Source organism: Homo sapiens, chromosome 7 (genome assembly GCF_000001405.40).
Source record: "Homo sapiens chromosome 7, GRCh38.p14 Primary Assembly".
Taxonomy (NCBI): Eukaryota; Metazoa; Chordata; class Mammalia; order Primates; family Hominidae; genus Homo; species Homo sapiens.
In genome coordinates this window covers 120,726,648-120,750,631 of record NC_000007.14, presented here as the reverse complement: position 1 = coordinate 120,750,631, position 23,984 = coordinate 120,726,648, and the positions used below count along the sequence as shown (strand labels likewise).

General features: G+C 35.2%; 1 protein-coding gene across 2 annotated transcripts in view; it reads right to left on the bottom strand.

The window, feature by feature from the left end:
* KCND2 (potassium voltage-gated channel subfamily D member 2) overlaps positions 295 to 23,984 on the bottom strand; it is a 477,430-nt gene continuing 453,740 nt past the window's right edge. For both annotated transcript variants that reach the window (XM_047420346.1, NM_012281.3), the window contains 5 exons: positions 17,567 to 17,729; positions 9,003 to 9,098; positions 8,030 to 8,122; positions 4,605 to 4,852; positions 295 to 2,951 (listed from right to left, as the gene is read on the bottom strand). In XM_047420346.1, the coding sequence (XP_047276302.1) occupies positions 2,774 to 2,951; positions 4,605 to 4,852; positions 8,030 to 8,122; positions 9,003 to 9,098; positions 17,567 to 17,729 (778 nt within the window). In that variant the 3' untranslated portion in view covers positions 295 to 2,773. The remainder of the gene's footprint in view (positions 2,952 to 4,604; positions 4,853 to 8,029; positions 8,123 to 9,002; positions 9,099 to 17,566; positions 17,730 to 23,984) is intronic.

Here is a 23,984-nt window from a genome sequence, read left to right as displayed (position 1 = left end):
ACCCCTGAGCTTCTCTGCTTAATGCAAGTAGTGGTGTTTAAGAAGTATATAAGGTTCAGGGACTGGCTTTCCTTAATTGATACTATCTTTTCTGTTAAAGTCCCTGCCTTAATTCCCATTACTAGCAAAAGCTACTGTCTCCACCCATTCAGATGAGATTTAAGCATTACTTTCAATTGCTGTGTCCTTTGAGTTGTATGTCTCACAAGGTCCTCCAACATGTGTATTATGAGTGTGGCATATCCTAATTTTGGGAAAGGAATGAAATCTAAGAAAATAGGGCAACAGTCAACATTTTGTCCTGTTCAAGCATGCACATGTTTTATTTAAGTATTCTCCAAAGGTCTATTTTTTTCCAGCATAATGCAGATATTATGCTATCCTTTGAAATAAGATATATGAATTTCAAACAAAATTGTCAAAAACAATGACCTTAGTTACTCCATATGGTACACAGAAATAATTACATTTCACTTACAATACAGATGCACTTAACACAGTCATCAATAGTCATTCACCACCAACACGGTATATTTTTAAATCACCTAAAACATCAAAAAGTTTTTTTTCTTTTCCAAAAGCCTAATAAAATTAATAATTTTGGGTAAGTGATAAATCAAAAGAGGAGGCAGAATTGTCAATTGAAATAACCTAACTGCATTTTCTTGTATGTAATATTAAGAACATGAAAATAGAACTTCTCATTGGGAATCAAAAGACATAGTAATTCTGATTATGGTTTCCTTAGTCTACTTTTTAGAAGGTTTTCAATAAATGCCATCAGATAAGTTTCACTAGACATTGCTCTAGAAGCATAAACTGACATGAGGCAGGTGTTAATATAATTGTTAATATTTGTACTGCTGGAAAATTAGTAACTTTTTAAAAGATGTACTAGGAATGAAGCCAGTTCTTCCCAAGAGATAGTTGAGTTTATCTTACTTTCACTCAGCAAATGTTTATTAAGATCTAATATGTGCATAGCACTGTTCTAGAAACTATTCTAGAAATGGGAAGCAAGAATTTCTGGCTTTACTAGAAAATGGTTGGATTAATCCCTTTTTATGATTAAATATCATAAGCATTTAAAAATCTCATCTCTGACAGAGGGATAATTATTAGCTCTTTCCATGTACAGAAGCTAAGCTTTATTCCTTACAGTGGTGGCTTGGAATGAATAAAAACTTTGCATTTGACATTAAACTTTTTTACACTGTCATGTGCAGACATGTCTGCTGAAATATTTTAAGGGTGAAAAGTTATAAAGACTTTTCACTTAAATGTACAGAGATCAACTTTGCATCATCAAACTCCTGTTCTCCTGATTTATTGGAGAAAATTGTACCTTGCAATACACAGGAACCTTTCTGAGATAAATTTGTGCTGCCTTCCTGAATGGCGTAGAAAGCATGCTTTCATCAAATATTGCTAAATAAAGCACTCCAGTGTATCTCTACATTTCAATCCACATTAGTTATTCTCAAAATGTATTCAAGATCTAAAGCAAAATAAATAATGCATCAAGTAAGATTCTGAGATGATTGATCCTGTGATATTAGTCCCAGTCAATTCTGTTCATAAAATACATAGTGATATATCCAGTATCTGGGCTTTTCCATAAACAACAAAGACGTTAGAGATAATTTATATGGGTCAACTCCTTTTTTTCTAGTTTTCGACAAGGGGATTGATGACAAGCTACTTACAAGATAATTTTTTTTGGAAATACAAAAGTAGGAAAGTCACTTGAACTACAGTAAACAGTAGTCTTGTTGATGATGATAAACCCAATAGAGAGGTGCTATAGAAATACAAGAACAGATAATGCACTGTGTCACAGGAATACAGTGGACCAAAAAATATTACTGAAAAACATTTATGGCACAATAGTTTTGGATTAAAAAGTTACCTAAAACCTGGCCACACCAGAAGTTTTTCTACGAATGTGGCTCTTACCGTATCTATAAGGATCTGGAAAGTACAACAACAAAAAAATCCTGATTCCTGATACAACAGTTGTACAACAAATTATTGCAGTTGTAACAGTATCTAGGTGCAAAGTTAAACGATAATGAATACTGAACTATCTGAACACTTTAGATTTACTAATGAGCATCCCCATGAGAAATACTGCAGGTCTAAAAGGAGTTTATTTGCACAGCCCACCATGGAACATGAACACTCAGCTTGTTGTAAGTGCACAGAAATTACCCCTTTCTACAATTATAGTTTATCATGCCTATTCTGAAGACAACATAAGGAAACTGAGATCACTGCTTCAAAGAATTCTAGCATGCATTATGATGGTTTCCTTCAGTCAATACAAATATGTTGTGTGAGTTTTTTTTTCATATGTAATAATCTTCATCATAGCCAATGTTCATGGTTTTAACAGGAAAAAATTTTATCAAAATGTTTTCCATATTTTTTTTGTTTTGCATTCAACTGGAACATTATGTTCAACGATTTATGTTATTTATTTTATTAAAAAAGAGTTCTGATCATAAGAAGCATCAGTAGGCGGCATTTCATTGTGCTCATTCACAAAGTCAAAGGGCCACAGAATATTACTCTGTATAACAGGTCAAACTGTCTAGAAATGCCATTTGGTGGTTTTATTCACATCCTTAAGATTGGAAGCTTTGTGTTTCACTACCAACCTTCTTTCTTTGCTGCATTAATCTGCAGAATATTTATTGTTTCTTCTTTCTTCTATGTTGAGATTCTTTTCACAGCCAGGGCTCGAATTCTCTTAGACCTTATTCCAATTGTCTTACAAAGCAGAAACTCTGACAATATTTCCTCCTGAGTACTCAGGGGATTCTGGCCTATCGTCTCCTTCTGGTGTGGTTACTGGAGGTGTTGGGATGCTTATTATTGCTGTAGTCACATAAGGTTGTTCACAGTTTAGTTTAACACACTCTTCCATTTTGGCATTTAAACTGGATCGGCTGATAGAAAAAAAAATATTTAGGAAAGTAAGTTGTTTACTTAAAATGTTTTTCATACAACTGAAGAATATGTGTTGTAATGCTTATAAAAATATTTTAATTGTCTAAGGAAAGTTATTATAATTAAAAATATGAAACACCAAATCTTAATCTATGTTAAAGATGAACATAGTAATTAACATTAAATAAATTTCTAAAAGACAGTTTGACTTGGTTCCATCAAGTATTTATCAAACTAAATGTATTATAAAAAAATGTAAGAAAGAAAGAGCTTCAAGTAAGATTTGGACAGCCTGGGCTGAGCAAAGAAGTTTTATTTAAGACAGACCTCTGAGAGGTTTGAGAAACCACTATGAAAGAGCCATATCACATTGATTTCTTAATTCCTTTGACCACAGAATATTTTTATTTTCATGTCTTTTTGGGATATATAATGCCCTCAAACCTCTGAACTTAATGATGATCACATATTACAGAAATAAAAAAATTATCTATTACTATCTAACACTTCAAGCTCCCAAATGGTATTATTGGATGAATTGTATACTCTATGTGGGGAAGGGGATAAAAGGGAAATGAGAGAGAAGGATATACACAGAAGCTTGAAACTGATTATTTTATTTTCATGGAAAACATAATTAAGATGTTTATGTCCTAAGATTTTCTTGCTAGATAATTTTCCATTGTCGACTTCACTTTATAAAGGATATAAAACTGCAAAGCTAAAATATCTTGAAGATAGAAGTCTTATGGCTCCTAATTTTAATTTTCTAGTCCCAGAGACATCCAATTTATGTAAATCAACATCACCTGAATTCAGAATCTCATCCAGATTTCAACAAAGACTTCTGAATGCCAACAAAGAAGAGGACTGAATTTACAGACTCTCACTCTAACAATATATGCTGTTCAATTTGAAAACAGAATAAAATTATTTTGGCAGAAACTGATTTTTAATGACATATATTGTTTAAATGTACAACTTTTTATTTTTACACATTTGTGGTAAAAACAGTGAATAAGGAAAAGCAAAGGAAATATATCAATATGGAAGTTTTACTTAATTTGTTCATAAACTAACCAGAGGCAAACAATTTTAGTACTTCACTTATTTTTTGTATTATGTTGATTTTGTGTTTGATATGGCCAAAAATACCTTTCTGATCAAAATTATATATTGATAGAAATGACTTATGTAGGCAAAGTTTTCATTTTTACTGTTACAGACAGTGTGTTTGTATATTTTTACATGCTGTTCAATAATTTTTAGCCATGTTGATCTCAATTTCATTTGACTCTTTTAGTAGTGTCCACCATCATTTCAGACTATTGAATATATAAGAGACTCCTGAGTATAAAAGTCCTTGCCCAAATAAGAAAAGGTTGTGGAACAGAAGAGAGAAAAACACATTTGTGTGCACTCAATCATCTCTTCTTCTTTCGACTCTTTTAATACTGATATAACCACTATTTTTAACCCTTAATGGATATGCAAGCAGAACCATTTTCCTACTTGTTACGCTACCATTTTTGTCTCTTCCTGAACCATAGGAGCTAGGGATTTAGATGCCATGTAAGTGACAACATGAGTGCAGAAGACACACCCTGGGAACCAGCACAGGTGTGTAGACAACACAGATTAATCTCAGGTACCTGTTAGACAGAGGTGTTCTCTCCACACATCTGATCTGAATCGTGCTGAGTTCTTGTATACTACCTTGATGGCTTCCTGATACATTGGCATTTGGGATGCGAAAAGTTTTTTTGTGTCGTCGTGAACAGCAGGTGCTGGTGACTCCTTGTTGTGAAGACAGTGAAGGACTGTGACTTGAAGGACGATTAACAGTTGCAACTTCCATGCAGCTTTCTTCAAAGACTTGTTCGTCCACAAACTCGTGATTCTGTTCCACAGTTGTAAGTAAATGAAGAAACAGAGAAGCACATTTTTAAAAACGAAATACATAGCTTTATTTTTAAAGCTCAAATCTGCCCAAGTATAGTTAGACTTGATACAATGGTTAAATAAAACCATTTTCATAAAGATTGACATCAAAACCACTTCTTTTTGGCATTTATGTGGAACTATCTCTGTAGTTAAACCTAGAGATTGACATCTGTAGGCTGATTTAGTGTCCCTTTATAGACTAACTTTATCTTGAAATATCATTTATTTATTTAAACATAAAATCTGGAAGGTATATGATAAGGAAAAAAAAAACCTAAAAAATGCATATAGATAAAACCCACAGGGAAATTAGAAATTCCCACTGACTTTATTTTTTAAAAAGGTTGAAGTTATGGAAAATAGATTATTTTAATAGGATGCCCCAAGTTAGATTGTCTGTTATATATTAGCAAATCTTTTCACATGGGAGTGAAAACATTTCTAAATTAGAAAATGAGACCCCTAAGACACTATCCATTTCTTTATATGTTCCTCTAAAAATGCCCAGTACAGAAAAATATGACTTATTCGTTACATAAGTAAAATATAATTGTCTGCCGAATGTGTCACTCTGTGTTCGACCCAGAAGGGATTAGCATTGAACTTTTGTGGCCTTTTTTGTAATCTTCGTAATACATCACTGGCATCACTGGCTGTACTCATGATCTCTGTATGCATTTGGGGTTTTTCCGTCACTATTTCCTAACTTCCAGCCCAGTAGCAAATAGCAATAGGCATCATTTCGCATATCGTATTTTATAGAAACATGGTATCAATTTTGCTTTTAAAATGTTTGACAAAAAACCTCCTGAAATGCCTATGGAAGAATTTCACCTCAGAAATATAAAGGAAAACATTTTTGGTCTGAACTACTAGAGAATGACCTCAATTACTATTTTGTTTTTCTTTGCATGGGTGGGGATAGTCTTATAATGGAAGGCTTTGCACATACCAAATTCCACTTAACCATCTCTCATCCTAAAATATGAGTAAAACAATTGAAGCAAGACACTGGCTAATAAGAAATAGATTATGTTTTAGCTACTCGTTTTGTCATTTCTTTGCTGAGACAAGCATTTTGAAATAAATGAAATTTAACATTCTACTCTTTAAAGTCTAGAGAATAATATAATCAGACAAGACAGAATTTCAAAGAAATATTTGAAATTAATATTTCAAATATTAAATTTCAAAGAAAAAATGGTGCACAAAAGATTCACAATCTGTTTCCTTCTCTTACAATGCATGGTTTCACATACCTAAGTTATAATGCATGAGATTCTAATTTGTCTCATCAGTGATTGAAAGTGCAGGAGTCATTCTGTTATTAGTTACTACATACTTTTGTAGGTAGCATAATTTATATTAGTTGGTGTTAGTGATTTTTGATTTTAAAAAAAGCCCTCAAAAAAGGAAAATACAGGGAACAGAAAAGATAGGAATAAAAATATTTTATTTATTTATTTATTTATTGAGACAGAGTCTAGCTCTTTTTGCCCAGGCTGGAGTGCAGTGACACTATCTTAGCTCACTGCAACCTCTGCCTCCTGGGTTCAAGCAATTCTCCTGCCTCAGCCTCCCGAGTAGCTGGGAATACAGGCTCCCGCCACCATGTCTGGCTAATTTTTTTGTATTTTTAGTAGAGACGAGGTTTCACCATGTTGGTCAGGCTGGACTTGAACTCCTGACCTCAGTTGACCCGCCCACCTTGGCCTTCCAAAGTGCTGGGATTACAGACGTGAGCCACTGCGCCTGGCCAACATTTTATTATTAATGTATCATTTAACTTTCAAATTTATCCTACTAGGTTACAGACCTGTCCATATCTTTATTTAAAAATGCAAGTATAATCATGTTACTACCTTGTTTAAAACATTTAAATGATTTCCATGAACTAAAGATCAAAATTGTCCACATGGCTGCAAAGCCTAACATTATCTGGACACTGCCTTTCCCTTCAGCTCCTCTTTTGCCATGCTACACTCTCTTCTTCTGACCACTCTTAAATTATTTCACTTCCTCCTAGGCTGAGTTCTTTCCTTCTTCAGGTACTTGTATCACCTGTTAGCCCCTTCATTGCTCTGCCTAGCTAACTCCTAGTCACCCTGCAGGTCTCCACTCAAGTTCCTCCAGGAAGCCTTGCCTGACCTGTCCCCTCATGGCTCTGCCCTCTTTACTCTCTTGACTGTGGCACCGTTGTTGCTTTCCATGTTCGCTGCTCTTTTCCAGTAACAGCCCTGTCTGGGATTTTGTTTTATAAACAGAGGCTAAATGGTAGCAGAGGCCACACCTCATTTCATGGCGTTTCTTGGGTCTGGCTCACTCTTGGGCACATAATAGGCAAGTAGTAAATATTTGCTGAATGACTCTATTGGTAAATAAGTACATGAACAGGCAATACTTTGGAACTGAGAATACAAATCATGTGTCACCCGAGAGTGAGTGAGCTGACATGATCCAAATATGGTGAAGATTTTGTTCTGCTCTGTGATTATCATAGATTATGACTCCTATTTACAAACTGGTTAAGAAATTGGTAGATTTGCCAATGAGGAGGTCCAAACAAGAGCTTGTAAGTGGAGAAATACAGACTCACTCCTTAGCACCCAAGGGCATACCAGTGATTACATGAGTCATTTTTCTAATGAGAATAGTTTCTATTATCTATCTCTATTCATTATGGTTGTGAATGAAACAAATGCTTATATTCCATTGTTCTCTGTTTTTTGTTATTGCTATTGCTATTCTCTTGATCTAGATGCTAGGGACCCTCGAGCACCATTAATTTTTTTCTGTCTAATTCGCATTTTAAGAATCACAGAAAATGATATTGTGTAGGATTTACTATTGGAAGACCACTCTTCATCTGCATTAACTGACTTCTTAGACTAGAGTTAAGACAGCAGCTAAGAATAAAACATTTTAAATAAGTTTCTAAAATACTTTCCAAATTGAAATGTCATTACATCTTTCAAAGTAATTTCAAATATTGTGGGGTTTTGGTTTGTTTGTTTTTTAGCATGTTTTCCAGTAATGCAGACAGTGAAATCACACTCGGAAGCATTAAGTATGCACAAAAGCAAATGGAATTACTGTCAGAGAGCAAGGGAAGGCAGTCATGCTGTCTCCTTACCGTGGTTTTTTCCAGGCAGTGAAGCAGGTGGTGGTGCTGGGTTTCAAAGCTGGAGCCGGATTTGCTAACAAAAGCCTGCTCATCCTCTGAGGACTGTTAACAAAGAGAAGACAGAAGAGCTTTCTATTTTATTTGCAAACAACTCGAACCTCGGCTACATATTTCCACAGAGAGATCTGCTCTATTAACTGGCAACATTTTATTTTTTTCTAACTAGAAAGGAACAAATGTGCAGTTCCTGTTAAGTTGGATGATCGGCATTTACAATTTCATCAAATGAATGGTCTGGTCTTTTAGACATGCCTCCTTGAATTGAAATTTGAAATCTCTTTTACTCATTCAACTAGCAACTATGTTTGTAAGATGGGAATCTGTTATGTTTTGATGATCAAATTTAGCATAGTGCTTAGAAAATTTTGAAACCACGATCATGTGCACGTAAATAAAAGCTATTTTGTAAGTAAAGATTGGAGTCCTAAATATTAAAGGAAAATTCTGGAGTAAAAATAAATTTTCTCAAATTGTAGTTTATGCCATATGATCTTCCTAACACTGAATAGTATTCCCTCTTCGTTATGAAGTAAAACAAGACATCATGTTAGCCACCCACCCCAACCCCTGACCCAAATGAACGTTAAGGAAGATAAATTTGAAATGAAAAAGAATTAGGCATTTGAATTATTAAGCATTTTTTTTTACCTTTACCATGTTAATAAGAGACAGTGTAGAAATATTGCCCAATGATGAATAGGCATCATGATTCACTGGCAGTATTTCATAGTGAAGTTTCTAACCTTCTACAGCCAACAAGGATGTACAGGGTGAAGTTATTAAAAAAACACAAACAAACACACTTTTGTTGTTTGGATAGCCATTGTCATAATTAGCCATAATAAAATTATAGGAAAGTAGAACTAAATCAATATTAAACCAAGAAATTGAACATTAAAAAAAGAGATGTAATTGATTGTACCTGCAGCTGATTACTGAGTAAACCATTCCGTTTGCTCTGCATGTAAGCATTTGCGCTTCCGCTTTTGGCTGCCCGGATCCTGGCCAGTCTAGCTTTCTATAGGAGAAAAAATAAACATCCCATTAACATTTATAAATCGTTTCCTTAAAACAGTGAATGAACCCTTGTATAATCCTATTGTCAGCCTACATATTTTTAAAAGTAAGCCAGCTTTTCAAATGCAACTATTGAAAATTACCTCTCTACCTTTTTAAGTGCTTTATTTCAGTTAATATTTATCAGTAAAATCAATGAACTACCTTGGAGCTGGCTTATGCCTTTAAGAATTATAATTAAGTCTTTACAATAAGATCAAGTTATTTCATTATTGTTTCTTTCAATTCTGTCAAAATAAAAATAGCAGTATTACTTTACTTATATTTTCATTTATCCCGATCTGAGTAACTTAATGAAATGAAGACCGGTAGCTCAGGAAACCAGCTGCCAACTCCTTTTCGTTTAAACTAATGTCCTTAAAAAAATTAGTAACTAAGTACCAAGAACTGATTGCCTTCCTTCCTTCCTTTCTTTTTTTTTTTTTTTAAGAATCATTATTCATCTATATCTGCATCCTCCAATATAAAATTATATTTTTGCAATTATCCTTTAAATTAGCCTAGGTAGATCCCATGCCAAACAACATGGACTCTCTCTCTAAACAAACAAACAAACAAACAAACAAATAAACAAAAACAACTGTGAATTTATCTACTTTGTCTACCGGCACGGGTCCGCACGACTGTATGTGCATCTGATTTGTATTTCACTCTTGAACTGGCTGAAATGAAGAACATAGTAAGCCTATCCAGAGAGATTTAAACATTGTTTTTCATTTTTAAAGCATTTTGTGTGTGTGTGTCTGTAGAGAATATCCTTCAATGTAGAGGGTTTAGGTGGCCAGTTCAATTGTTCCTTTAAGTTACAGTTAGATCCCTAAAGTGAAAGTACTAAGGATCTGGCTGTGTAGCCAGATTTCTGATATTCCATTCTACTTTCTAACTGCTGTTGTTGACGTGCATTTAGACCGTCATGGAAACAGTCTCGTTTTCCCTTCCTGGACAGCACTATTTTGGTGACCATTCTATTTGTATTACATGTAGCTAGCAAGTGTATGTAAAACAGAGACTGGGATGGCTTAGATAAGTTTCCTGTAGGCTTATCTCACAAAACTTCTTCTTTTTCCCTTCTAAACAACCTAGAAAAATACTATCTTTAGTCTCAAGTCCTGGAATGCTCTTTTTAATAAAAATTTTAAAATTATCTAGATTTTTTAAATGAAAAATAAATATAAACATATGACACAATTTTTAATACTACAGAAGTGCATGCAAACAATTGTCTCTGACCCTGGAGCCATCCCACTCCTAGGCTTCAGAAACAATCACTGGTAATATTTCTAGAGAATCCTGTGAGAAATTTTCTGAGCATAAAAGAGCAAGTAGATATATTCACATGTATATACACATACATTTTTACTCCAGAGAATACTCTGCACACTCTTCTGCATTTAGTTGTGTTTTTTAATTACATCTCAGAACTCTTTCCGTATATGCATATAAAGATCCACCTCATTTTTAATGAATGTATAATATACCACGGTATAAACAAATAATTATTTATTTACCAGGCCAACTGCCAATTAATTTTTAAAGCATCTTTGGCAACTATAAGCAAGGCTGCCTGCTTTGAATATGATGATGAGCTTATCTACAAGACATATTTCTGAAAGCAAAATTATTCCTGGACCAAAGGGAGTGCGTGTGTGTGTGTGTGTGTGTGTGTGTGTGTGTGTTTCTTTTGTTAAGTCTTACCAAATTTCCCTCCAAAGTTATTGTACCAAGATGCCTTTCACACATATCATTTGAGAGTAGCACTGAGATGTGTGAAGCTCTCAAAATCGCATTAAGATATCATGTCTTTAACTCCACCCCTCTTCCCTTCCTTCCTAAATTTATTCTTCCTGTGTGCTGATTCCAGGTTAAAATAATATACTTTGTACAAAGACCATATTTATAAATGATGAGAAAATTAGACAAATTTCATTCTTTGTTGGAAACATAATGTTTAGATCACTCAAAATACTGACACAATAGTAGAGAATGAAATTGGAAGGTAGAAAAATTTTAACTTCAAAAGCTGGGCTGCAGTTTCAGGATTTCAGACCAGACTCAGTGAAACAGTAGCAAGTGAAAAGGACATTTGGAAACAACTCAGAATTAGCTTAATAATTCAGAAATAAGCAATTTATATATTGGTTTCCAAAAAGGGATTATTGTTGAAATTTCAGTCTTCAAGTCTCTTTAGTCTCCTGGAACATTCATTGCCTTTCTACTCCTGACTCCCAACTCCTCCCTCCCTCCCTTCATTCTCTAAGCATTCAGCAGCAGCATTGGGTAAAACTGTTTTCTTTTATTAAGAAAACATATACATTAACCAAAAATACAGTCCAGCAAAATAAAATGACATATATTTCTCATCATATAATGGAAAGCCTACATATGGTGGCAAACACTACTGCAGAAGTAGTTCTAAGCTTAGGGAAAAAGAAGTTGCTTTAGAGACAGACTATCCATTTTTGCTAAGTCATGCAGCGTGTTAGAAAAAGAACTTCCCATCTAAATTTCAATCATGGCTTTTCTTTGACCCGACTACAATTCCATAGGAGTTAATTGGTTTAATTGGTCTTGCGGAGCACCACAACAAATGCCTGTTGAATGCTAGCCTTCATGACTTGTGATTACAGCAGGTAATTGAGGGAAATTATTTTACAAAGATATTTTAGGAAATCATCTTACTTCTGAGCCACTCAGTATGACAATCTTGGCAGCACCAATTATGTAATTGGGAGGTTAAAAGAAAGCCATCTGCTGGTAAAAAGAAATGTATTCCTTTCAGTCTCTTACCCCCGACCCTTTTAGGACATACAACTTCTGGCATGGCAAAGTACCAGCAAATAATATGGAAGTTGGAGAAAAGTTTCAGTAAGTACTTTATTTTAGCTGTATGAAAAGTAGGAGACTTCTTAAATTTTAATTAAAGCAAGGTTTACATTTTCAGTGTAAAAAAAGCTTCATAGTTATTTTCAAATAATTTATTTGCCTTAAATGGTGATGGTATTTGGAAAAAAGTTGTCTGTCTCATAAACATATTCTTCCTATGCATCCCAATTCTTCATAGCTGCAGCTTTTGTCCAATCATCTAATCTTAGCAGGATTTCTCAAAGTTGGTTCCAAGGAATTCGTAAGTGTGGTAAGTAAAATCTAAATCAAACAGATGAAGCAAATGACTGGTTCTGTGGTCAAGAAAAGGCTGGGAAATGCTGAGGTGTTAAACAGGTTCCTTTGCTCCCGGGTTCCTCACACCATATGACATTGTGGATGATCACTGTGAGAAGAACAGGGATATATAATCTGCAAATTTCCTCAAACTAATTTGACATAGAAATCTTGTATTGTGAAGTACTCACAGGCTAGAATGCAGTGGAACACAATGGGTTTTATCAAGTAGATTGTTTTTTAATTACGCCAAGTGACATAAACTTTATAGTTTATGTTGTGGAACAGAGGGTGGAAGTCAATCTGAGAAGGATCTATAAGCCAAACACCACTGAGACATTGATTTCTTTAAATGGTCAGTCATTTCTAGATGAGGTATGAGGTAGATTAAAGGAAGTTATTGGGCCATCTTGTTACCAAATCACAAAATCTTTTGAAAAATAAAGGTATCCTAGGTAGCCTTAAAAGTGAGGTAATGAAGGTGTTTCTCTTTGGTAATTCCTTATTCCTCAAATGCCTGCCTCCACACTCCCTGTAACATGCATTCTGGAAATTTTGCTTACAGTTGTTTCTTTCATTTAAGGGTTAGTAAAATGCCTCAGTTTGAGGTAACATAGTAAACTTTATCACCTTTTAGAAGTTTAAGGCATTTATTGGAATCTTTTCACTTGCTAAGAAAAATAGCTGTGCTAGAAATGAGACAAGTTAGTACCAAACTACAATAAAAAGAGAAGAAAGAAGTCAGTGGCAGACAGTGCAACATTCCTAGGTCCAGAACTTGGTTAATCCTGGAGATGGCAGGGCTAAGCAGAAAAAGGGCTGGGATTTGGGTTAGTGGAAGAGGCTAAGCAATGAGAGGTCTACAAGAGGATTCCATGGTGGAAGCGGTGAGAACTGAAAGAGGATATAGGAGAGCATCCAAGACCAAATTCTTAGGTGGAATTAGGAGCTGGGTAATTTTGTTTTTAACAGTAGATAACCTAAGAGATCATTCTCAGGTTCTAGCAAGTAGTTATTTCTTGCTTTTTCATTATTCTACTTAAATAAAAATCTTTGATTTTGACATTGCTGAATGTACTAGGCAGTGGTTCTCAAAATGTGGTCTTCCAAACAGCAATATCAGCATCACCTGGGAATTTATTAGCAAAATTTCAGGTTCTAACCCAAAACTACAGAGTCTGATGATTTGGGAGTAGGGCTCAACAATCTGTTTTTTGTTTTGTTTTTTTTTTTTTTGTTTGTGTGTGTGTGTGTGTGTGTGTGTGTGTGTGTGTGTGTGTAAGCTTTCCAGATGATTCTAATGAATCTAAAGTTTGAAAACCACCCTAGCAGGGTGTGATAAATGGCAGACTACATATGGGTAGTGTCTTTCTAAGTCAATGTGAAATTTAAAAATATTACACTATACATTGGCTCATTGATTCTAAACTTCTCACTGCATTTAGAATTATCTATAGGAATATCCTAAAATATTCATAGTTCAAATAATACTAGAATTTTTTTGCCTTGGACTTTAATCACTAGGTTTGTGAGCATGAGCAAGTTATCTGTAAAATGGAAATAGTATACTTCCTTTGCAAGTTGATTGTGAATATTACAAAAAAAACAGATATAAAACACCTGGGACATTCTAGAAACTAGTGAGGGTTTTTGTTGTTGCAATTAGTATTATTAAATTATAACTATAATTACTACTATGATTATTATATGATAATTACTCACAGGTTAGCCTGTGAGTATGCAGATGATTAGGTGATGTGATCCATATATTAAAAGAGCTGCTTCAAAATGTCAACCTGCCACTTGTCATTGCATTAATCTAGCTTTATTTTGGCTAATACATTCTACTCAGTAAATACTTATAGTATAACTACGAGAATCAATAAATCTATTAAAATATAATTACCAATGGTGGGAGTAGAGGAGAGGTGTCACAGTTTAGGCCTATACCCACCAGCATGTCAGTATTTAGTTAAGACTTTATCAATGATTGATAGAAATGGGGTAAACCATGTATTCCCTGTATATGGCAGGAGTGGACAGCAAAAGTAGGAAGAGTACTTGCAAATGGAAGAAACTAGAAGAAGGAAAGTATTTCTGATAGTGATGATAGGAATTTTCTAAAATTAATATTGTGTCTATTTCATGCTTTTGCTTGGTCTTAGTGTGGCAATTGAATTAAACACCAAAAATATGGTCTAACAAACCATTTTGTAATATTACTTTTATTAGTCAGTTGGACTGACGTTTTTACTGAATTGAATGCTTGCTTGACTGAATTAGCTGGTCATTTTTGCATAACTTTAATATTTGGCACATAGCCCAGTCCCAGATAAATAAACTGTCTTAGCCTAATGGGCGTTTGTTCTGCTTTTTTTTCCCCCTAATCTCTTGGGAAGGAAAATAGAAAATATCCCCTGGTAACTTATTTAGTTCATATCCACTGTTCTTTCTTAGAAGATTATGTTCAGTTTATTGGTCACAGTCTACATACTGGACATATTATACTTGGTTATTATATTTTACTTTATTAATCCAATTTTTTCAGTAGTAAAACTCTGTAAAATTCATTGCATTATGGCAGAAACCAAAAATATAGCAAATATTTAAAGATACCAAAAAGCATTCACAAAATATACTTTTCAATTAGTGTACTTTTAGAATGTCACATTATTTACTTTTGATTTCTAAATGTATTTTAGTATTTAATATTTAGTAGACCAAAAGGCTTCTAAAATATTCTAAGGTTTTCTTTATTGATTTCTTTGTTGCAGATGACAAACTCTGAAGAAATACAAGTGTTTGGGAAATTGGTTTATCGGAAATTTAGATTTGTGCTTTCTATAGTTTTCATACAGTTGGCTCTTATACTAAAGGAGAAATGTCTAGAATGGAGATAGATGGGTGGTTGAAAGTTAAACTTTTGGTAGGATCCTGTTATTTTAGACAATGTGTGTTTGTACTCAGTAGAGGGACTGTACTGTATGGGCAGCGTCATGAGTGTGATGTTTGAAGGTCCCTGGTGGTGGGGTCAGTTGTGGCTGAAATCCCTTTACCTCTGCTTGCCAAGGGTATGTATTCCCTACATAAGACTACAACTGTCCAGAGGGTGCCTTTTTCTACTCCTCCCTATTCGTTAGATGATCAGTTCTCTATATCCATGTTGACTGGACTATTTCTAACTCTTCTCTGTAATAATTAAAGGCTAGGCATTTGTCCAAAAATGAAGGGTTCCATAAAGCAAGTAACTACAGAGCTTGAAAAAGTGATTCTTTGCTAAAGGAAGAAGATCTTTGACAGTGGGCATAAATTAGTTCTCTGGACAAATATGCTGTGTGGCCACAGTGATTAACTAGAACTTTCCAAAGACTTACTTTATGAGATTGTATACTTTACTTAAGAGGCTGACATTGTTCATATGCGTGCTTAAGATCCCGTTCTGGAATTACCTACAAAGCCAGTGAATAACTATATCAAAGTCTCTCATGATATTTTGTAGTTATAACACATCACCTAGGTTGTGCATCTACTTTAGTCATGATTATGAATGGTTTTGGATATTTTTTAAAAAATGAAACTATCCTTAAAGGACAAAGATATAATGACCATGAAGAACACTGGAAATACAGTGCCATAAGTCCAAAGGAAACTACAAAAGAGATTTCCAAGATTATTTCTAAGCAACAAGGGCCCTGCCTCTCAAGGTGACTATTTTGACAAAGATTGGGGAAGGGAAGTATGCTAACATTTACATAGCTTTTCTGAGAGGCACTTTATCATAGTGTTTGTGTATATGAACCTGGGAGCCAGAATGGCTTGGATGGAATGGTGGATCTCCAACTTAACAGGTATGTGACTTTACAATTGCTTAATTTGGGGGTACTTGAGGATTACCATCTATAAAAATGAGGATAATAATGGTAACTAACGCCAGAGTTTTTGTGAAGGTTGTATGTGTTGACTCAAGTTTAGCCTAAAGTTGCCTCCTTACATATTTTAAGTTTAGCCTAAAGGTTTCTCTATGCATAGTGAACTGTAACTTACATGGAGGAGTAAACAGACTGTAACCCACTCTTGTGCCAACCGCTGAGTTTTGGCCAATCAAAGGGGGCCAACTGTTCAAACTGTGTTCAAATAAGGCAAACGCTGAGCTATAATCAGTACAATTGTTTCTGTACCTCACTTTTGTTTTCTGTATGTCACTTTCCTTTTACTGCCTGTAAATCTTTTTCTACCATGCGGCTGTGCTGGAGTTTCTGAGCTTACTCTGGCTTCAAAGGCTGCCCAATTCATGAGTTGTTCTTTGCTCAATTAAACTTTTCAATTTAATTTGGCTAAGGTTTGTCTTTTAACATATGAATTCTTTTGTGAAAAACATTAGGCTAATGTCTGACACATATAAACCATCAGTAAACATTAAATATTGATAATATGATGTGTTTATATAAATTTACATATACTTGTATATAATCTTAATCTTATTATTTATTATTTTCCCCATTTTACAGTTGAGTGTACGCTATGCTTATTCTTAGAGGGATTAATTACCTGGCATGAAGTTCAAACAAACGGTAAGCTGCTGGGACGAGAATAAAATTCAGCTACAGATGATCAGATTACTTCTTGTGTCAACTATGTAAAATATCTGAGACACATCTTGGTGACCTTTAATAACCCTCGTCTACTGGAACCAGTTTGACCCTTGATAGATAGAGACTCAATGAATCAGATCTAGAAATCTGATTTTAATAAAATTTGCCAAGAATCTGTTTCTGATTTTGCTACTGTCATTAGTGCTGTTCGTCAAATATTTCTTATTTTCTGCTTCTGGCCCCACAGTAGAATTGTATTTTCCTGCCCACTTTGAAATTAGACATTGCTGTGTGATTTGCTTTGGTTAATGCAATAGACAAGAAAGTGACTCAAACCACTTCCAGGAGGGACATTAGGAAGCAGTGTGTGATTCATCATGCCCTTTACTCCTGCTGGAGTGACTGCAGAAGTACACTGTCAAGATGGACTCTCTATTCTCTGGACAAGTAATGGACTTGTAGCATGATTCAGAAATATTGCTTATTGTTTTAAGCCACTGAGATGTTACGTTTCTTTTTAGTGTAGAATAACCTACTCGGTCCTGATTGATGCAACTACTGACCAATCCAGAGCACTGAATAACCATTAAGAAATTTTAAAGCTCATTATAAAAAGTGGGAAGTGCTAAACCATGGTTGCACGGAGTTGAATACGCACCTTTTGTGCCCTTCGTTTGTCTGCTCGTTGATTCTGGTGGTAGATGCGACTGAAGTTGGATACAATCACCGGAACAGGTAGAGCAATGACCAAGACCCCACTCAGCGAACAGATAGAACCAAAAATCTTCCCTGCTATGGTTTTTGGCACCATGTCACCATACCTGAGTTAAAGAAAAAATATATATATATTGTTTTAAGTCACAGAAAGACATTTCTACCTGAAACTAAGAATTTTTTCCTTTAAGTCAAATGATTTTTTGGACATATCTATTTCTACTTTGTGACTATAATATATATGGCTTCAGACTTTAATGTCAGAAATTATAAATATCTGAATATAAAAATTACCTTTCAACCTTATAGAAAGTGATTCTAACATTAAGTAATCTTTTTGATTGGAAAATATTTTAAGTCAGATGATGTAATGATAGCTCTTCAATTTTTCCTTTATATGCCATGACACAGTTCTTTACATTTATTTAATACTCAATAATTCTATGCTGAAATTTAGAGTCTGGATAACACAATTTTCCACTTAGTTTTTTCAACATTCAATTGGTTATGAAATTTAAGTAGAAAAAGTAGCACATCACATTCCTTTCACCAGATGTCATCATTTAAAAAATAAACTTTTCAAGGTCCCCATTAACCTTCACTTGTGAAATCTAATGGCCATTTCTCCATAAAAATCTAACTCAATCTCTCATTTGTAGCTTATTAGTTGACTATTCTCTCCTTGAAAGACTCCTTTTATTCTTGGCTTTAGTATTAGAAAATATTCTTATTTTCCCTCCTATCTCATTGGCTACCACTTCTCCATCTTTTTTTCTGCCTCCTTTCCCCTTATCTGATTTCTAAACCTTAGAGTACTTTAGGTCTCAGTCTTCCGTCCTCTTATCTTCTCCATATAAACCCACTTCCTATGTGACTTTGTCCAATCTCATAGCTTAAAACTATCTCTATGCAGCTGATGCTCTTGATTTATATTGACAGCCATGATGTCTCTCCTGAAAATCAGATTCATATCTTGAGTGGTCTGGTCTGATTATTTCTACCCCTGGATGCCTAAGAGCCCATTAAAATTTAAATTAACCAAAATGGAACTCTCATTTCCCTAGCTTCCTCTTCCTCTCTCAAATATTTTCCCCCCACAATTCTGCCACTTATAATTAAACATAATCACCACCATGCAGTTGTTCATACCAAAATTGGAAGAGCCATCGCCTTAATTGCCAGTATCAACGTTTCATCTCTTAGCTGGTCTTGTTGTCTCTGTGCAAACCAAATTGTATCCCATTCAAGTCTCTTTATGACAATAAACCAAACCGTGGTCATTTCTTGCCAGAGCCATAGATATAGCTTCTTACCTGACTCTCCTTTCTACATTTAGCACTTTACAATTCATGCCAACATAGCAGCCAGAACTTTGGTTTTAAAAATGGAGATTGGACTACTGCTATGTTGCTTAAACCCTGACATGGACTTGAAACTGAAATAAATCCAAACTCCTCAGTTTTGCCTCCAAGGGCCTACCTCATTTAGTTCCTGCCTGTATTTTACACCACCTTTCACCAAGCTCACTGGCCTCTGGCCACACTGGCCATCTGGCCTTCTGTTTTGTGTGCAGCCCCCAGATGGTGATTATTCAGGGTGCCATTTAAATGTCTCCATCCAAGTGATTTTCTGGCCACCTAATTCACAGTAGTCTTATTCTCTTTCCTATTCATTCTCTGTAACATTTCCTCATTTGACTGTCTTCAGAGTACTTATTAACAAGTAACATTTTCTTATTTATTGATTTATTTTTTCACTCCTCATCCACCCTACTGACATTAGAATGTAAAATTGCTAAAGCAGGAGCAGTTCTACTTTGTGTTTCGTGAGCATAAGGCCAGCTCCTACTACATATTAGTTGAATGAGTACACTTTCTCTTCTTTACTGATGGAGACTTTGTCTAGAGTGCACTCCTGGGGCGGGGGACAAGGAGGAGTTCTTTCCATCTTACTATTGCCGAAGTTACCCAGCTGTGTCTGAGCTCCAACTACTCCATGCTTACTCTGGGGCTTTGGAGAGCTCAATGCTCAGAGAGTGTAGTCCTGAGAGACAGGGATCAAAGGAACTCACATACTAGAATCCATGCTCAAGGGAGTTTAGGAGGACTTGGGGTTATATTGTATCTTGAGAGGTAGCCTAGGCAATAGTCACTCTAACATTGTTTTGTGGGAAAACATATGTGTGTCAATATGGAGATGGAGAGGAATTGGCTGAAGAAAAACTGTTGAGAGAGACAGAAGGTGATACTATCTAGTGCCACATTTAGTGACCCTATTCTGAGCTCTGGTCCTTTGATTTGAAGATCCAGGTACTCATTCCTGTTGGTGTTTGTGGGTGATCAGTAGTTGAGCTAATTTAACATAGCTGAAGTTCCCACAAGGCTTTGGCACCAGAATAACAGTATTAATTTATAGTACAAAAATAATAACCTAAGAACCAGAATGCTGTGTTCATATAAAACACGATCTCCTTCTATCTGGGAAGCTAAATTATAATCTAAAGGTTATGTTAGTGAAGAAACAGTGAAAGCTAAAGGAATTTAGAAGATGATTTTCAAAAGTCTTGGGGATATTCTTACTGTAGAGGTATGTCAGTGGGATTGGAAGGTCAACTCCTTTTTATACAATGCTGTGTACATATGAGCCAAATTATGTATCTGTCACAGTTCACATTGAATGTCCAGTCATATTTTATACACAATGTTTTTCCCCTTCACACTGATTATGCAGTAAGCCCCAGAGAAGGTACATACACAGACACACACACGCACGCGCGCACACACACACACGGCTTTTAAAAAAGGGATTTGATTTTTAATAAAAACTCAATTATTTATTATGGCTAAAGAATACAAGGACTGAGTCCATGTAATTAAAATAAGCCTTTTAAAATATAAATATATAAACTAGCTAAGTGAATCCATCATATAGTTTCTCTTGCCCTTGAAAGATTTTTAAAAATCATTATTTACTGTTTACTTTTTGTATTCTAGGATCACTATGTCATAGGATAGGCAAGCTCAGCATACTTGCAATTATTAGAGAAAATTACGAAAAGTAAGGAGATACACCAGTTTATTGAAAGGCAGCAAATTCACAGTCTAGAAGGATTCATAAGGTAAAAGAGGTTGCAGATACATAAGCTTCGTGTCATAAAGCTAGGCTAATCTACACCAAATAAAATATTTATTTTTTAGCTCTACCATCTCTTTGTTTTATAATCCAACATTCCTTCACAACTGAGAAAACACAGGTGAGTATTTGCAAGGACTGGGCAGGACTGCAATGATTATGGTGAGAAGAGGAAGGGGGCACAAAGTGTTCATCAGTGGGAACATCTTCTCTCACGTTTATGCTCTTGGGTAGAGACACAGAGTTTCCCCATGTTATAGCCAGTTAGGATGGTCTCCAAGGCTCTGCTGTTGTGAGAGAAAGCAGAGGAGATGGTAAGAGAATACAAGGAAGTAGAACAGGCAGGGGTGCTAAGACAGTCCAGGCTGTCCTGCAATTTCTCATGTAAGGACAGCCTGAGCCCTTGGCTGGTTCCCATGGAACACCAGCTGCCTTCTTCCTCATACTCCTTGGTACAATTTACATTACTCTTTCTATCCTTCTCCCTGCTCCCTTTATCAGTTTAAAGTTGACTGCTGTTGATATTTGTAATATTTTAAGCATATCTCACTATTCGAATATGTTGGAGAAGAGCAAAAAATATAGTATGATTCATGTCTGTTTTTACATTACTCATTTTGTCTCTCTTCTCATTTAGTAGTGACCTGGAGAAATGGAAATGGGTAATTTTTATCTGCAACTTGTAATTGAGCACAGAATCTGCTAGGGATGGGATATATCTCACTGGCAAAACCAGCTGCTTTTCTTTGTTTAACAAAAGATCTTCTAACTAGTATTCAAACTCACAGCAAGAAGCAAAACAGCATTATACACCTCAGGAATCACATCTCTCTGAAATTCCGTGGAGGAAAGGCTTAGAATAGAAAGCTTATATTGAGAAGTGACACCGTGGTGAAATGATCATTGAAAGTTTAAGTGTTTCTAAAATACTGCCACCTTTTAATGATTATTTATATCCTAGGCAACTTGGTTTCCTGTTGGTACTTTATTATTTATATTCAATATAAAAAAATATATCTCATTTTTCCTGACTCCTTATTTGTAAATTTATGCTAAGCCCAGTAGGATTATTTATTTCATTCTTTCTGTTTTTCTTTAGAATTTTATATTATGTACTCAGTCGTTGAAAAATCATTTCCCAAAAAAAGTTACACCAAAACATGACATAATGTGGGGTTTATATTCATATATATATTTTTTCTGTATTTAATAAGATTGATTAAAAGACTACAAGAAGCCCCTAAAGCCTAAGAAAATAAAGAATGAATTCGCAAAAACATAAGAAGGAGGCTGGGTGTAATGGTTCACGGCTGTAATCCCAGCACTTTGGGAAGCAGAGGCTGGTGGATCATCTGAGTCAGGAGTTCAAGACCAGCCTGACCAACATGGAGAAACCCCATCTCTACTACAGATACAATGTTAGCCGGGTGTGGTGGCACATGCCTGCAGTCTCAGCTACTTGGGAGGCTGAGGCAGGAGAATCTCTTGAACCCAGGAGGCAGAGGTTGCAGTGAGCCGAGATGGCGCCATTGCACTCCAGCCTGGGCAACAAGAGCGAGACTCCATCTCAAAATTTTTAAAAAAAAAAAAAAAAAGAAGAAGAACGAAACAAGAGAATATATCATGAGAGAATAACTATCAAATATTTTAGATAACACAGCAACTTGAACATCGTTAATTGAAAGGAAACTTTTCCCTATACTCTTTTCTTTTCTTTTTTCTTTCTTTCTTTTTTTTTTTTTTTTGAGACGGAATCTCCCTCTGTTGCCAGGCTGGAGTGCAGTGGTGCCATCTCGGCTCACTGCAACCTCTGCCTCCTGGGTTCAAGCGATTCTCGTGCCTCAGCCTTCTGAGTAGCTGGGATTACAGGCACATGCCACCACACCCAGCTAATTTTTGTATTTTTAGTAGAGAAGGGGTTTCACCATGTTGGCCAGGATGGTCTTGATCTCCTGACTTTGTGATCCACCGTCCTCAGCCTCCCAAAGTGCTGGGATTACAAGCGTGAGCCACCGTGCCCGGCCCCCCATACTCTTTCTACTCTCCCCTGCTTCTAAGTTTTCCTTCTTTCTCCTATATTTACTATGTCAGTAGAGCCACCAGTTTCCTTCTGCTCCTTTTTCACCCTGGACATCTGCCAGACCTCATGTTTATGGCTCCCTTTCTTCCTCATATCGGTTAAAAAGGTACAACATGGAAGTGCCTTTTGCATAAAAATGTTAATTCTAAATTTGCGTACTTCCCAAAAATACTGGCTAAAATTTTATATTTTGCCAAATATTGAAGATTATTTTGGGTGGAAGACCAATTCCTCAGAAGAGATTTAAGTTTTGGCTATTAAAGATTTGTCTCAAATATTATCAAAAATTTTCATGCAAAGTTCTTGAATTCTGGCATGCACTCTACTTAATACTAAATCTCATGAAATCTGATTAATTCAGGCAGACAATGCATCCATTCATCCATCTATCCATCTTCCTATTTATCAAGTAATATTGATAGGTTGAAAATATGCATAATTTTAAAACATAATTCATTGTAAACCAAATGTTATTGACACCTTACTAAATATTTCCCTGTTTAGTATTTCTTCAGAAGTTGCATGACTAGTTCAGAAGTTGCATGATGTGGCTGTCTTTATATCTCAAATGGAGAAATATTTCCTTGAATTTTCTTACACCATCTTCAAACAATACTGTTAGCTTCCTAGTCCTATTCATATAGTTTCTATTTTTTCTCTTTTTATTTGATGGGTATAAATGTATGTTCATTTGATAGAGTACAAATGTTATATGAGGCAAATCTCCCTAGCTAATGCGTGACTTTCCATCTCTGAAAGTATGTCCCACACACACTAAAAGATAAAACAAAAGTCATGTAATTGATAAATAATCATGAAGATAGAAGAGATCCTTGTACAACAGGAAGAAAATTCTGATTTTAAAATAAACCTTGATGCTTACTGTAACTCAATCTCTCACATTATCTTTTTCATTTTTTACAAGGAAAAATTGTGAATTACTAGGTATAAGGAATAGAATGAATGAACAGATCCTGTGCAGGTGCACAGAAGTTCAGGAGCATTCTGTACATTGTATAGGGCAGTTGCTGGTTCAAAAAAATGCTGCATTTCAACTACTACAATAATTAAAAGAAACTCACATGGGACATGAATCAGTATTTGGAGTGTAAGTATTTGAAAAGCAGGTATCCTTTAAAAAGTTAGATGA